The following is an 11,252-nucleotide window of genomic DNA, read 5'->3' on the forward strand; positions in this document are numbered from 1 at the left end:
CTTGGAGGATCATTTTGTTTATTTTCATTTTATAGATAAAGAAAATTAAGCTCAGAGAGGAAAAGGAATTTAGTCAGGGTCACACAACCAGTTAGTGGTGATACTGGACCTGGAACCCAGGTTTCCTTACTCCTGTTCTGTATCCTGTTGACTGTATTACCTTGCCTCCCCACTTTCATGTAGAAGCACGTTTTAAAGAAGCCTCCTTCTGATGCATGGCTGATTCTTTGTGGTGTGTTTGTCTTTAGCAGGAGCAGCTCCATATGTGCAGGCATTTGACTCGCTGCTTGCTGGTCCTGTGGCAGAGTACTTGAAGATCAGTAAAGAGATTGGGGGAGACGTGCAGAAACATGTAAGGATGTTTTGCCTTTTTCCCCTTCTTTTAAGGACTAACAGCTTTCTTCAGTCAGCCAAGGTCCTCATCCTTGGTTTAAGAGCTCCTTGAGAAGTTCCTCTTGGTTTGGGGCATTACACATGTTCTTTCTCTTTTGCCTGTACTGAGGAGTTCAGTCTAGCCACAGAAACGATTCCTCATTTTTTTCTAGGCCCCTTGCTTTTATCACGTATTTATACAGAAAGCTTGCTTGGTACATAAAATATGGTTCTGTTCATCTTTGTAGTGAAGAATATGCACCAGTTTGATCCCAACATATTACATAATCAAACCTACAGTGGCTTATTTAAAGGAGTCATTATCATGACTTAGCATTTATAAAACTATGCTTGATAGTTATTAGTTATGCTAATGTGGGTTATTTTCACACTTAACCCACAGCAAGAATATGAAGTAGGCAATGACAGGTGCCTTTCCTCCCACCTTCCTTTATGCCTCCTACGTCATCACCACCACCCCCCACCCCCACCCCACACTCACATATACATTCTACCTCTATTTTTGGGACCCAAAAACCTTCCTGCTAGCTCACCGAATTATAAACAGTAACCATGCTTGGGAACTTCTTCACCTAAACCTTTCTCGAAGACTGGTTGCTTGGCTTTTGGAAAATCTATTTTGAGCCTCTCAAATACCATCTGTTGCCAATGGTTTTAGCTCTAGAGAGTGGGACTGGGACTTTAATAAGGGTGTGGAGGCTTGCATTTTTACTTAATACAGTTCTGTAACATTTGAAAAAACTTTAAAACATTTATCATTTGTATTTTAAAAATGCAAATCCAGAAAAAATAGATTGCTTTCTTTGAATTTTTGTATTTTAATAGTGCTTACAGTCTCATGTTTCTTAAATTCTTTTGACTGCGAATGACCCTTAGAAAGAAAGAACATATTCGTAACTGAGATAAAAGTTTCACAAGATGATATTTATACTACTTCTGCTGTACTTTTTTTTTTTTTAACTTTTTATTTGGAAATAACTTGAAGTTGGTGCACTGCACTCATACTTTTGTTCCATTAAGCTCACTAAATTGATTTAATTATTTATTAATGGGTCATGGTATCTGGCATTTGAGAGATAGCTTTAATCTAAAGGAGTAAATACCTTGAGAATTTTCAGCAGAAATTTAGGCCTTTGCCTTTACTCCTGTCTCCAATTTTTGAGAAAAGAAAGGTGTTTTTTTGGTTGCTGTTTGTTTTATTTTGCTGATGTGAAATAGGAAGGATTTTTCAGTGCACGGTATCACAATGCATGTGTAAGATGCTAACATGACTTCATGTAAGCTAGGTGATTATCCAATTAACTTCACTTCCAACTCTGGATATATATCCCTGATGAGTTCCAATAGGAACAGTAGTGTATGTAATTCTGCTCTCAGTCCCTGGAATCTGGAATACATGAGGAGGATAACATGAAGTGCCTGGGTTGCTATCAGAGTACATGGAAGTAGAGGTTTCAGGTTATTCTTATCAAGACTTCTCTAGTTATAATGTGTCATCAATAGCTGATTCTTCTTTCTGGCAGGCGGAGATGGTCCACACAGGTTTGAAGTTGGAGCGAGCTCTGTTGGTTACAGCTTCTCAGTGTCAACAGCCAGCAGAAGTAAGTTCACTACTAGCTGGTTTCATTTTGGTTTGATGCTCAGGACGAGTTGAGAGATTTATGTCAAGCTATTATAACATTTTAAAATAGACCTACTAGGCTTTTGATAATATATGTTCATACCAAGTCCCAGAGGTAGAGCCATACTTCAAGTGCCTTAATGGGAAGGTACTATTGGGTACTTAATGGTCTCTACTGGCTTTTTCTCTGTCATTTTGCATAGGACTGTGGTTATCCCTGGGACTTTGCTTGCCTGCCTCTTTGCTGAGTCCACATTCATCATAGTGTCTCCAAAGCCCTTTAAAGATGATTCTCTTGCTTCACTGTGGATGGGCTTTAGTAGTGCTCCTGTGGAGATCTTAAAACTCCTACAGTATTGCTTCTCTCCTCATCCTTCACTGGTTGGGAGACTCTCTCTTTAATTTTACTCCCACCTCAAAATTTTATGGTGCAAGATGTGAAAAGTTGAATTAGAGAAAATTTAGATTTCTCTTGGAGTCAAAGAATATAGGTTTCCTTCTTTTGCATTTGGTTTTCCTAGTTACAGAGGAATAATAAAGCAAGTTGTCCTAAATGCTGTATTAAAACCCTTGACCCTCAGCATGCCTAGATAATATAAAAATAGTGCAAGATAATGTCAAATATATTAGATTCTGGTTAAGTGTGCTGGCTCATTCCTGTAATCCCAGCACTTTGGGAGGCTGAGGCAGGAGGATCACTTGAGGCCAGGAGTTTGAGACCAGCCTGGGCAACATAGCAAGACCTCGTCTCTATTAAAAATTAAAAAAATAAAATAAATAAAAATAGCCAGGCAAGGTGGTGCATGCGTATAGTCCCAGCTACTTGAGAGGCTGAAATGGGAGGAAGATTTGGGCCTGAAAGTTTGAGGATGCAGTGAGCCATGAACACACCACTGCACTCCAGCCTGGGCGACAGAGCAAGACCTTCTCTCAAAAAACATTGTGTGTGTGTGTGTGTGTGTGTGTATAGATGCCATCTAATTCTAATATGTAGAATTAGATTTTAATTCTTAATCTGTCCTGAATGGTTAAGATCTGAGAATTGAGATGTTCAGGAAATGGAGCTTTGGAGGAAGGGTGCAAACACAAACAAAATTCATCCATTTTGCCAAGGTGCCTACTTGAATGCTAAGCCCCTAATTGTTTTTTATTTTATTTATGTTTAAAAAAAAATTTTTTTTTTGAGACAGGGTGTTGTTTTGTCACCCAGACTGGAGGGTAGTGGTGCAATCACAGCTCACTGAAGCCTTGACCTCCCAGGTGTAATGATCCTCCCACCTCAGCCTCCTGAGTAGCCTTGACTACAGTGTGCACCACCATGCCTGGCTTGCTTATTTACTTACTTATTTATTTATTTATTTCTGAGATGGAGTTTCTCTCTGTCGCCCAGGCTGGAGTGCAGTGGCAGGATCTCGGCTCACTGAAACCTCCACCTCCCAGGCTCAAGTGATTCTCCCACCTCAGCCTCCTGAATAGCTGGGACTACAGGCATGCGCCACCATGCCCAGCTGATTTTTGTATTTTTATAGAGATGGGGTTTCCCCATGTTGCCCAGGCTGATCTTAAACTCCTGGACTCAAGCGATCTGCCCACCTTGGCCTCCCAAAGTGCTGGGATTACAGGCGTGAGCCACCATGCCTGGCCCTAATTCTTTTTATTATTTGTAGAGACAAAGTTGTGCTGTGTTGTTCAGTCTGTCTTGAACTCCTGGTCTCAAGCAGTTCTCCTGCCTTGGCCTCCCAAAGTGCTGGGATTACAGGCGTGGGTCACCATGCCCAGACTAAGCCCCCTAATTGCATTTGATTCATCAGTTCTTTACAGCAGCTACTATATGGCTGGCAATGCATTGGGGGCTTTCATGATGATAAAAGAGCTCGTCTTTGAAGAATTAATGAGAAAGTAAAACATATTCACATGGGTCCATTAATAGTTTGTATTGGTGAGTGATAAAATGCCAAGATTGGTTATGCTGACAACAAATGCTGTAGGAGGCTGGTGTGGCTGGGTTGGAGGGCCCTCATGAAGCATGAGGAAAATTTGGATTCATGGGAAAAAAAGAGAACATCATGAGTAAGGCACAGGAATGATGTCCTGAGTGTATGTCCTCTGAGTGGAACAAAAAAGAGACAGGTGGCTGAAATGGAGGTTCTGTGGTATAGCTGAAGTATGGGTCCTGATCATGAAGAACCATCAGGTGCAGCCTGAGGAGTTGGAACTCTACGAGGAGAGTGAGATGATGAGCAGTATTTTAGCCTTAGGAATCAGGACAGGACTCATGCAGTTTATTTGGGTGCTCACTAGAGTCCATAGAGAATTCTTGCCTTCAGGATCAGAAGGCATAGACACCTTTGTGGAAAGATGTTAACCTGAATCTTTTCTTGTATCTTTTCCTAGAATAAGCTTTCCGATTTGTTGGCACCCATCTCAGAGCAGATCAAAGAAGTGATAACCTTTCGGGAGAAGAACCGAGGCAGCAAGTTGTTTAATCACCTGTCAGCTGTCAGCGAAAGTATCCAGGCCCTGGGCTGGGTGGCTATGGTGAGCAGCGCAGATTCCAGGGCTGGGGGTGGGTATAGATTTTAAGAGGGAAGGCAATATAGTTGGAGAGGTCCTGAGTCACTGACAGCTTGTCTCTCTCTAGGCTCCCAAGCCTGGCCCTTATGTGAAAGAAATGAATGATGCCGCCATGTTTTATACAAACCGAGTCCTCAAAGAGTACAAAGATGTGTAAGTTCAGCCTTTTCTCTCTTTTTTTCTTTTCTGAGACAGTGTCTTGCGTTGTCACCCAGGCTGAAGTACAGTGGCACAATCACAGCTCATTGCAGCCTCAACCTCCCAGCTCAAACAATCCTCCCACCTCAGTCCTCCAAGTAGCTGGGACTTCAGGCACGCTCCACCATGCCTGGCTAATTTTCTAATTTTTTCGTAGAGATGAGGTCTCACTGTTTCCCAGGCTGGTCTCTAATGATTCTCCTGCCTTGGTCTCCCCAAAGTGCTGGGATTACAGGTGTGAGCCACTGTGCCCAGCCAAGTTCAGCTTTTTCTCAAGGGGTAAAGGATAAACCCATTTGGTTACTTGCTGGAGTAGCACTTTGGAGTTACTGAGGGCTGCCCTTAGCCACTGTGCTGGTTTTATCTCAGGGCTGCTTTCTGGAGAGCTTTACAGATATTGTCTCACAGCTGCATTTGCAAGCAGGAAATACTTCTGCTTCCACTTCTGCTTTCTCTCCTTTTTTGGTAGAGGCCCTTTTAGTCTTCTGATCCTTACCCTTCTGGGTTTAGGAAGTTTTGCTGGCAGTAACATGGACTAATGCCCTTTATATAAGATTTTGTTCCTTTGTTGAGAATTTGTTACTGGCCCAATGGCAAAGGGTTCAATAGGACTTAATAGAAATTTTTCATGAAGTCAGTTAAAGTGAGAGTAAGGCTGCCTAGCCAATGCAGGTATTACGTAGGGCAGTCATTGCATGTCTAACCACATACGTCTACCAGTTCTGACTTCTCCATTGCTGGTTTTGAGCTGGAATGATTGCAGGCAAAATTTATTAAGTTGCATATCTACACAAGCCTTTCCTTTCTTCCATCCTTCATCAATCAACAAACATTTATTAACTACTCTTTTTAAGGAAAACTACACCTTCCTGTGAGTGAAATGTGTCCCAGAACAACAGGCACTTCCTTATCCTTCTAGCAACATGGAATTAAGCATGACAGTGTTTTGATATATCCCACCATTATCCCATCACTTTACAGTTGAGGAAACTAGGTCTTAGGCTAAATAACCTTCCCAGTTAATACATAAGAAGAGAGGGGACTTGAACCGTAGGCACAATGCTATTTCTATAATTTAAGGCTGATTGTTTCCCCCTAAGGGAAAGTTTTTAAGTTTGCTTTTGGTCAGGGTGGGCATATTTTGACATAAGGCATTGTCTCATAAGGCAGTTAAGTTTCTTAGTCTTTAGAGTTCCACAGTGATACTTAAGAGCTCTCCTCTCTACCATGGTTTTATGCACAGAATGTCTGCTTTTATCAGTTTTACATATTAGATTGTGTTTAAGGTCTACTTTGAAAAAAGTTTCAATAAGCAGCAAGTGGTCAAAAGAAAAAAAAAAGTTTTGGTACTTAAAACAGTTTGAGAAACATTGCTATGAGAGATAGAGATAGAATCCAGAGTCTCTATCTTAGTGGAGTTTGGTCTGATTAGGGTAATAGACTAGGTTGTATATACATAGAAGCTGGTGATGATAGAAAAGCTGCCATTGAGCGGAGCCTAAGAAACACCACGGGTAGGAGAATGTGAGCCCATAGGAAAGAAGGGTTCTGGAGTCACCACTGTTATGTACCCGGATCACCTGTGACAAGTTCTTCTTTAATCCTCCCAGGGATAAGAAGCATGTAGACTGGGTCAAAGCTTATTTAAGTATATGGACAGAGCTGCAGGCTTACATTAAGGAGTTCCATACCACCGGACTGGCCTGGAGCAAAACGGTTAGTGAATCCTTCCTCCCTCCCTCCCTCCCTCCCACTTTCTCTCTCCAGCATGGGGTCCACAGGTTTCTTAGACTTCAGCACTACCAAAGTCTGTGAGGGAATGCTAGTTTTTTCAGTGGAAGGGAGGAAGAAAAGGAGGAGAAAGAAAGGGTAAAAAGAGTAGAGGAAGCAAGGATCAGAGGAGAAGGAATATTCAGTGGTATTCAATTTCAATAAATATGTTAGGGACAGTGATTGGTGCTGGAGCAGGAGACACACACAAATGAGTTACACTATCCCAGCCTTTAAGGAGCTTAAAAATAAGAATGCAAAACCCCAATACAAATCACCAAGCCAAATGCTATAATAAAGATACAGACTAGAGTATGAGGAAGAGAAGAGTGCTTCTCACTAGAAGAGATTGTACTTTGAAGGTATATACTCTTCTGTGAGACTTGAAAGTAGTATAGGGCAGTGAGAAGTGGGATACTACAAAAGGCACAGCTTAAACAAAATACATGCAGAGTAAATGTAGAGATTGGTCATCTCTGGCTTCAATAAGGGGAAATGATCAGAATTTTAGGAGAAAAGGCTGGAAAGGAAGGTAGGCTGAGACTTTGGGATGAGGTATTTGAGCAAGGGAGTGATAATGATTCAATTTGTCTTTAAAAGAGTCTCAGTGTATAGGTTAGGGATAAGGACTCATGCTCAGATTATGAAAGTGGTCATGGTGTTTGGGGGATAGTAGAAAAACATTTGCAGGAGATAGCACCAAGATAATAGAGATTTGATAAGGTCGAAGAAGTTGGAATCCTCAAAGAAGATTGAATAGTCAGTCTTGGATAGTAACATCTTTCACTGAAATAGGGACAAGGGGATGATTGTACAGGGAGAGGAGCGGCAGGAAATGATGAAATCAGTTTTGAATCTGTTGAATCAGAGGTACTGGTAACACACTAAGGAAGATGTCAAGTAGATTTGTGGAAATAGTTTTTAGAGCTGGAATCAGGTGAGTTCAAAGGCAAAATGTGATGGTCAAGAAATAGAACTGAGAGCTGGATCCTTGGGAAAGGGTGAGAAGGCATAAAGCCAAGTTGGGTATGGGTAGGACACATTAATCATTGCCTCAAAGGCTGTGGTGGGGACCCCATGTGCACTGGCCCATGTAGGGCACTACTGGGAATGGTACAGAGGGGAGCAGAGAGGATGATGATGTTACCTGCACTTATTGTTCCAGGGGCCTGTGGCAAAAGAACTGAGCGGACTGCCATCTGGACCCTCTGCCGGATCATGTCCTCCTCCCCCTCCACCATGCCCCCCTCCTCCCCCAGTCTCTACCATTTCATGCTCATATGAGTCTGCTTCCCGCTCATCACTGTTCGCGCAGATTAATCAGGGGGAGAGCATTACACATGGTGAGTGAGCACTTGGACACGAACAGTAGGTACAACAAGTTGTGTGGGCCAGACCCCACCAACCAGAACCGTCTGTAAACTACAACCCTGGCTTGTGTGGTGGAGACTCGTTTGGTGTGTCCTGTTCCTTTAAGGGACGGCAAAGCTGGCTTAAATGGAAATTGAAAATGATGATCACAGTTGGAGGAAGCCATCTGCCCCATGGGAAAGTGACTTAATATTAGGTAGCATATATAGAGGACCCTCTTGTGCCAAGGCACAGAGCTGGCGGTTTTCCCCAGAGCTTTTTCCGTGGCACCACATGGCCTCTGGGAAGGCATTGTGTTAGGGAGTTAACTTCCTCAGAAGATGCATACTGGTTACATGGAAAATTTGCATGAGAGTGACCTAATGTTGGTATAAAGTAGATACCCTTAACACAGCTGGTGGAAGTCTGAGTTGTCCAGCCACTTCTAGGAATCTATGATCATAGTAGCTAAAAATGGTGTAACAACCTAAATCCAACTGTAAGAGAAATGGCTAACTACCACATGTCCTCTTGATGAAATGTTTTTTATTTTTTTATTTTTTTTGAGACGGAGTTTTGCTCGTTTCCCAGCCTGGAGTGCAATGGCGCGATCTCGGCTCACCGCAACCTCCACCTCCCAGGTTCAAGCAATTCTCCTGCCTCAGCCTCCCGAGTACCTGGGATTACAGCCATGCGTCACCATGCCTGGCTAATTTTTTTTTTTTGTATTTTTAGTAGAGATGGGGTTTCTCCATGTTGGTCAGCCTGGTCTCAAACTCCTGACCTCAGGTGATCTGCCCACCTCGGCCTCCCAAAGTGCTGGGATTACAGGTGTGAGCCACCACGCCCGGCCTCTTGATGAAATGTTGTGCCACCATTACATGTTTTTCTACAGTGAACCATGTAATGTTTAAGAAAAAAAAAATCTAGTATGTAAATTACAACCACAAGGAATGGTGGAGATAAAAAGGCCATTCAGTATTTGTTATACAGTTAACATAGATCTGGCCATGTTCAAAGCGAGGCGTGTGTCAGCCTGCTGTGGGAGATGATGAATTATTTTTCCCTTAAAACATAAAAGAAATATATTTTTACTTTTATTTTTTATTTTATTTTATTTTTTTTGAGATGGGAGTCTCACTTTGTTGCTCAGGCTGGAGTGCAGTGGCGTGATCTTGGCTCACTGCAATCTCTGCCTCCCAGGTTCAAGCAGTTCTCCTGCCTCAGCCTCCTAAATAGCTGGGACTACAGCACCTGCCACCACACCCGGCTAATTTTTTTGTACTTTTAGTAGAGACTAAAAATACACCATGGTAGCCAGGCTGGTTTTGAACTCCTAACTTCAGGTGATCCGCCTGCCTTGGCCTCCCAGAGTGTGGGATTACAGGCATGAGCCACAGCGCCTGGCCTAGAAAGATATTAAACTACAGGTTAACATGAGAAAGTTTTTAAGTGTCAATAGTTGAACTAAATTTGTTAACAATCTGTATGATTATAACCAACAAAACCAAATATATGTAGAAAACAATATTGTAGAGTTGCAAATGCCAACACTGACTGAGGAGGTGGGGGAAGTAGGGTTAGCTGTGGGGAGTGAGGGTATTTTTTTCTTTTCCTTTTACCAAATTTTCTTTACTACCACTCATTTTTCTTTATTGCTTTAAAAATTATATATTTGTGCACATACATTTGATATGTCTTTCTAGACATAGAGGATAAGGATTTACATATCCTTATCCTCACCCACAATATACACACATTCCATGTTGTTGTTAATGGAACCATATAATTTAATCTTGGGGAGAAGAGAAATGATAAAAGTACTTTTCCAAAACTGCTTGCAAGAGAACATCTCAAAGGCTCTGGTTTTGGCTTTGAATTTTCTGTTAAGGATGTTTAACATGACGATAGCAGCTCAAAGGTCTGGTATGAAGGACAGGAACAAGGTAGCTGTTGTTCTTACAGCCCTGAAACATGTATCTGATGACATGAAGACTCACAAGAACCCTGCCCTGAAGGCTCAGAGTGGTCCAGTACGCAGTGGCCCCAAACCATTCTCTGCACCTAAACCCCAAACCAGCCCATCCCCCAAACGAGCCACAAAGAAGGAGCCAGCTGTACTTGAACTGGAGGGCAAGAAGTGGAGAGTGGTGAGTTAAAAATACCTAGACAGGGGCAGGTATTTTTATTATTTTATTTTTTTGAGATGGAGTTTCACTTTGTCGCCCAGGCTGGAGTGCAGTGGCGCGATTTCGGCTTACCGCAACCTCCGCCTCCCGGGGAAAAGGAGTAGGAACAGGAGGTTAAATGGAGCTTAGCTAGATGAGGGCAGAGTTCTGGCTTCAATTGCAAGAACAAAAAGTTTGGGATAGCCTGGTTATTTTTTGTTCGGTGTGTGCTTTGTGATGAGAATCCTGGGATCTCTCTCTAACAGGAAAATCAGGAAAATGTTTCCAACCTGGTGATTGAGGACACAGAGCTGAAACAGGTGGCTTACATATACAAGTGTGTCAACACGACATTGCAAATCAAGGGCAAAATTAACTCCATTACAGTAGGTGAGTCTTTGTCGCTGTCCCACGCAAGCCCCGTCCCAGAGCCCGAGAAGGCTAATACCATTTTACCTACCCTATCCTTAAAGATTCCTAAATGTATATTACTTTCCTTTAAAGTTACACGTTGACACACTCCCTTTCTTCTCCTAGATAACTGTAAGAAACTTGGCCTGGTATTCGATGACGTGGTGGGCATTGTGGAGATAATCAACAGTAAGGATGTCAAAGTTCAGGTAACTCGATATTTTGGCTCCTTCTTTTTGTCCCTGAGGAATTAATTCAAAGAGACATGGTAGACCCACAGATGTTGCTTTGGTGGGAATCTGATTCTACAAAGTCTGTAAGCTGAGCTGCTTTGGACGTGGCAGAAGAAGGGTTGGCTCTTCAAGCAAGTTCTTTTCAGGACCCATCCCAACCCACCCGAGTATCCAGTGTCTTGCGCATCTGTGAGCTTTTCATGTAGTTGCTGAGTCACGTGAAACAGGAAACCTTTTCCTGCGACTTACTGTTGTCCTTCCCAACCACTGGGACTCAGTTCTCTTTGTTTACTCTGCAGGTAATGGGTAAAGTGCCAACCATATCCATCAACAAAACAGATGGCTGCCATGCTTACCTGAGCAAGAATTCCCTGGATTGTGAAATAGTCAGTGCCAAATCTTCCGAGATGAATGTCCTCATTCCTACAGAAGGCGGTGACTTTGTAAGTTTCTTGATCTCTTTAGTATGATGTTAAAAACAGAAGGGACTGAAGATTTCTGGCATTGAAGAAAGCTATTTTATGAACATTCTGC

At 42.4% G+C, this 11,252-nt stretch overlaps 1 protein-coding gene across 25 annotated transcripts in view, besides 1 other annotated feature; it reads left to right on the plus strand.

The window, feature by feature from the left end:
* The window catches only part of CAP1 (cyclase associated actin cytoskeleton regulatory protein 1), a 32,409-nt gene that overhangs the window by 19,579 nt on the left and 1,578 nt on the right, over positions 1-11,252 (plus strand). For 13 of the 25 annotated variants that reach the window (NM_001350479.2, NM_001350480.2, NM_001350478.2 and 10 more), the window contains 10 exons: positions 249-352; positions 1,917-1,994; positions 4,409-4,552; positions 4,656-4,741; positions 6,397-6,502; positions 7,722-7,899; positions 9,872-10,056; positions 10,341-10,464; positions 10,612-10,694; positions 11,018-11,161. In NM_001350479.2, the coding sequence (NP_001337408.2) occupies positions 249-352; positions 1,917-1,994; positions 4,409-4,552; positions 4,656-4,741; positions 6,397-6,502; positions 7,722-7,899; positions 9,872-10,056; positions 10,341-10,464; positions 10,612-10,694; positions 11,018-11,161 (1,232 nt within the window). The remainder of the gene's footprint in view (positions 1-248; positions 353-1,916; positions 1,995-4,408; positions 4,553-4,655; positions 4,742-6,396; positions 6,503-7,721; positions 7,900-9,871; positions 10,057-10,340; positions 10,465-10,611; positions 10,695-11,017; positions 11,162-11,252) is intronic. The other 12 variants (XM_047431628.1, XM_047431636.1, XM_047431520.1 and 9 more) reach the window with 1 other exon arrangement.
* Positions 10,021-11,220: an enhancer, noted in NCBI's record as "BRD4-independent group 4 enhancer chr1:40535511-40536710 (GRCh37/hg19 assembly coordinates)". NCBI's record gives its function as "activates an origin of replication core promoter dependent on BRD2, P300/CBP, MED14 and CDK7 cofactors, and independent of BRD4, by STARR-seq in HCT116 cells {active_cell/tissue: HCT116}" and the evidence as "EXISTENCE:reporter gene assay evidence [ECO:0000049][PMID:35650434]".

This window comes from Homo sapiens, chromosome 1 (genome assembly GCF_000001405.40).
Source record: "Homo sapiens chromosome 1, GRCh38.p14 Primary Assembly".
Lineage (NCBI taxonomy): Eukaryota > Metazoa > Chordata > Mammalia > Primates > Hominidae > Homo > Homo sapiens.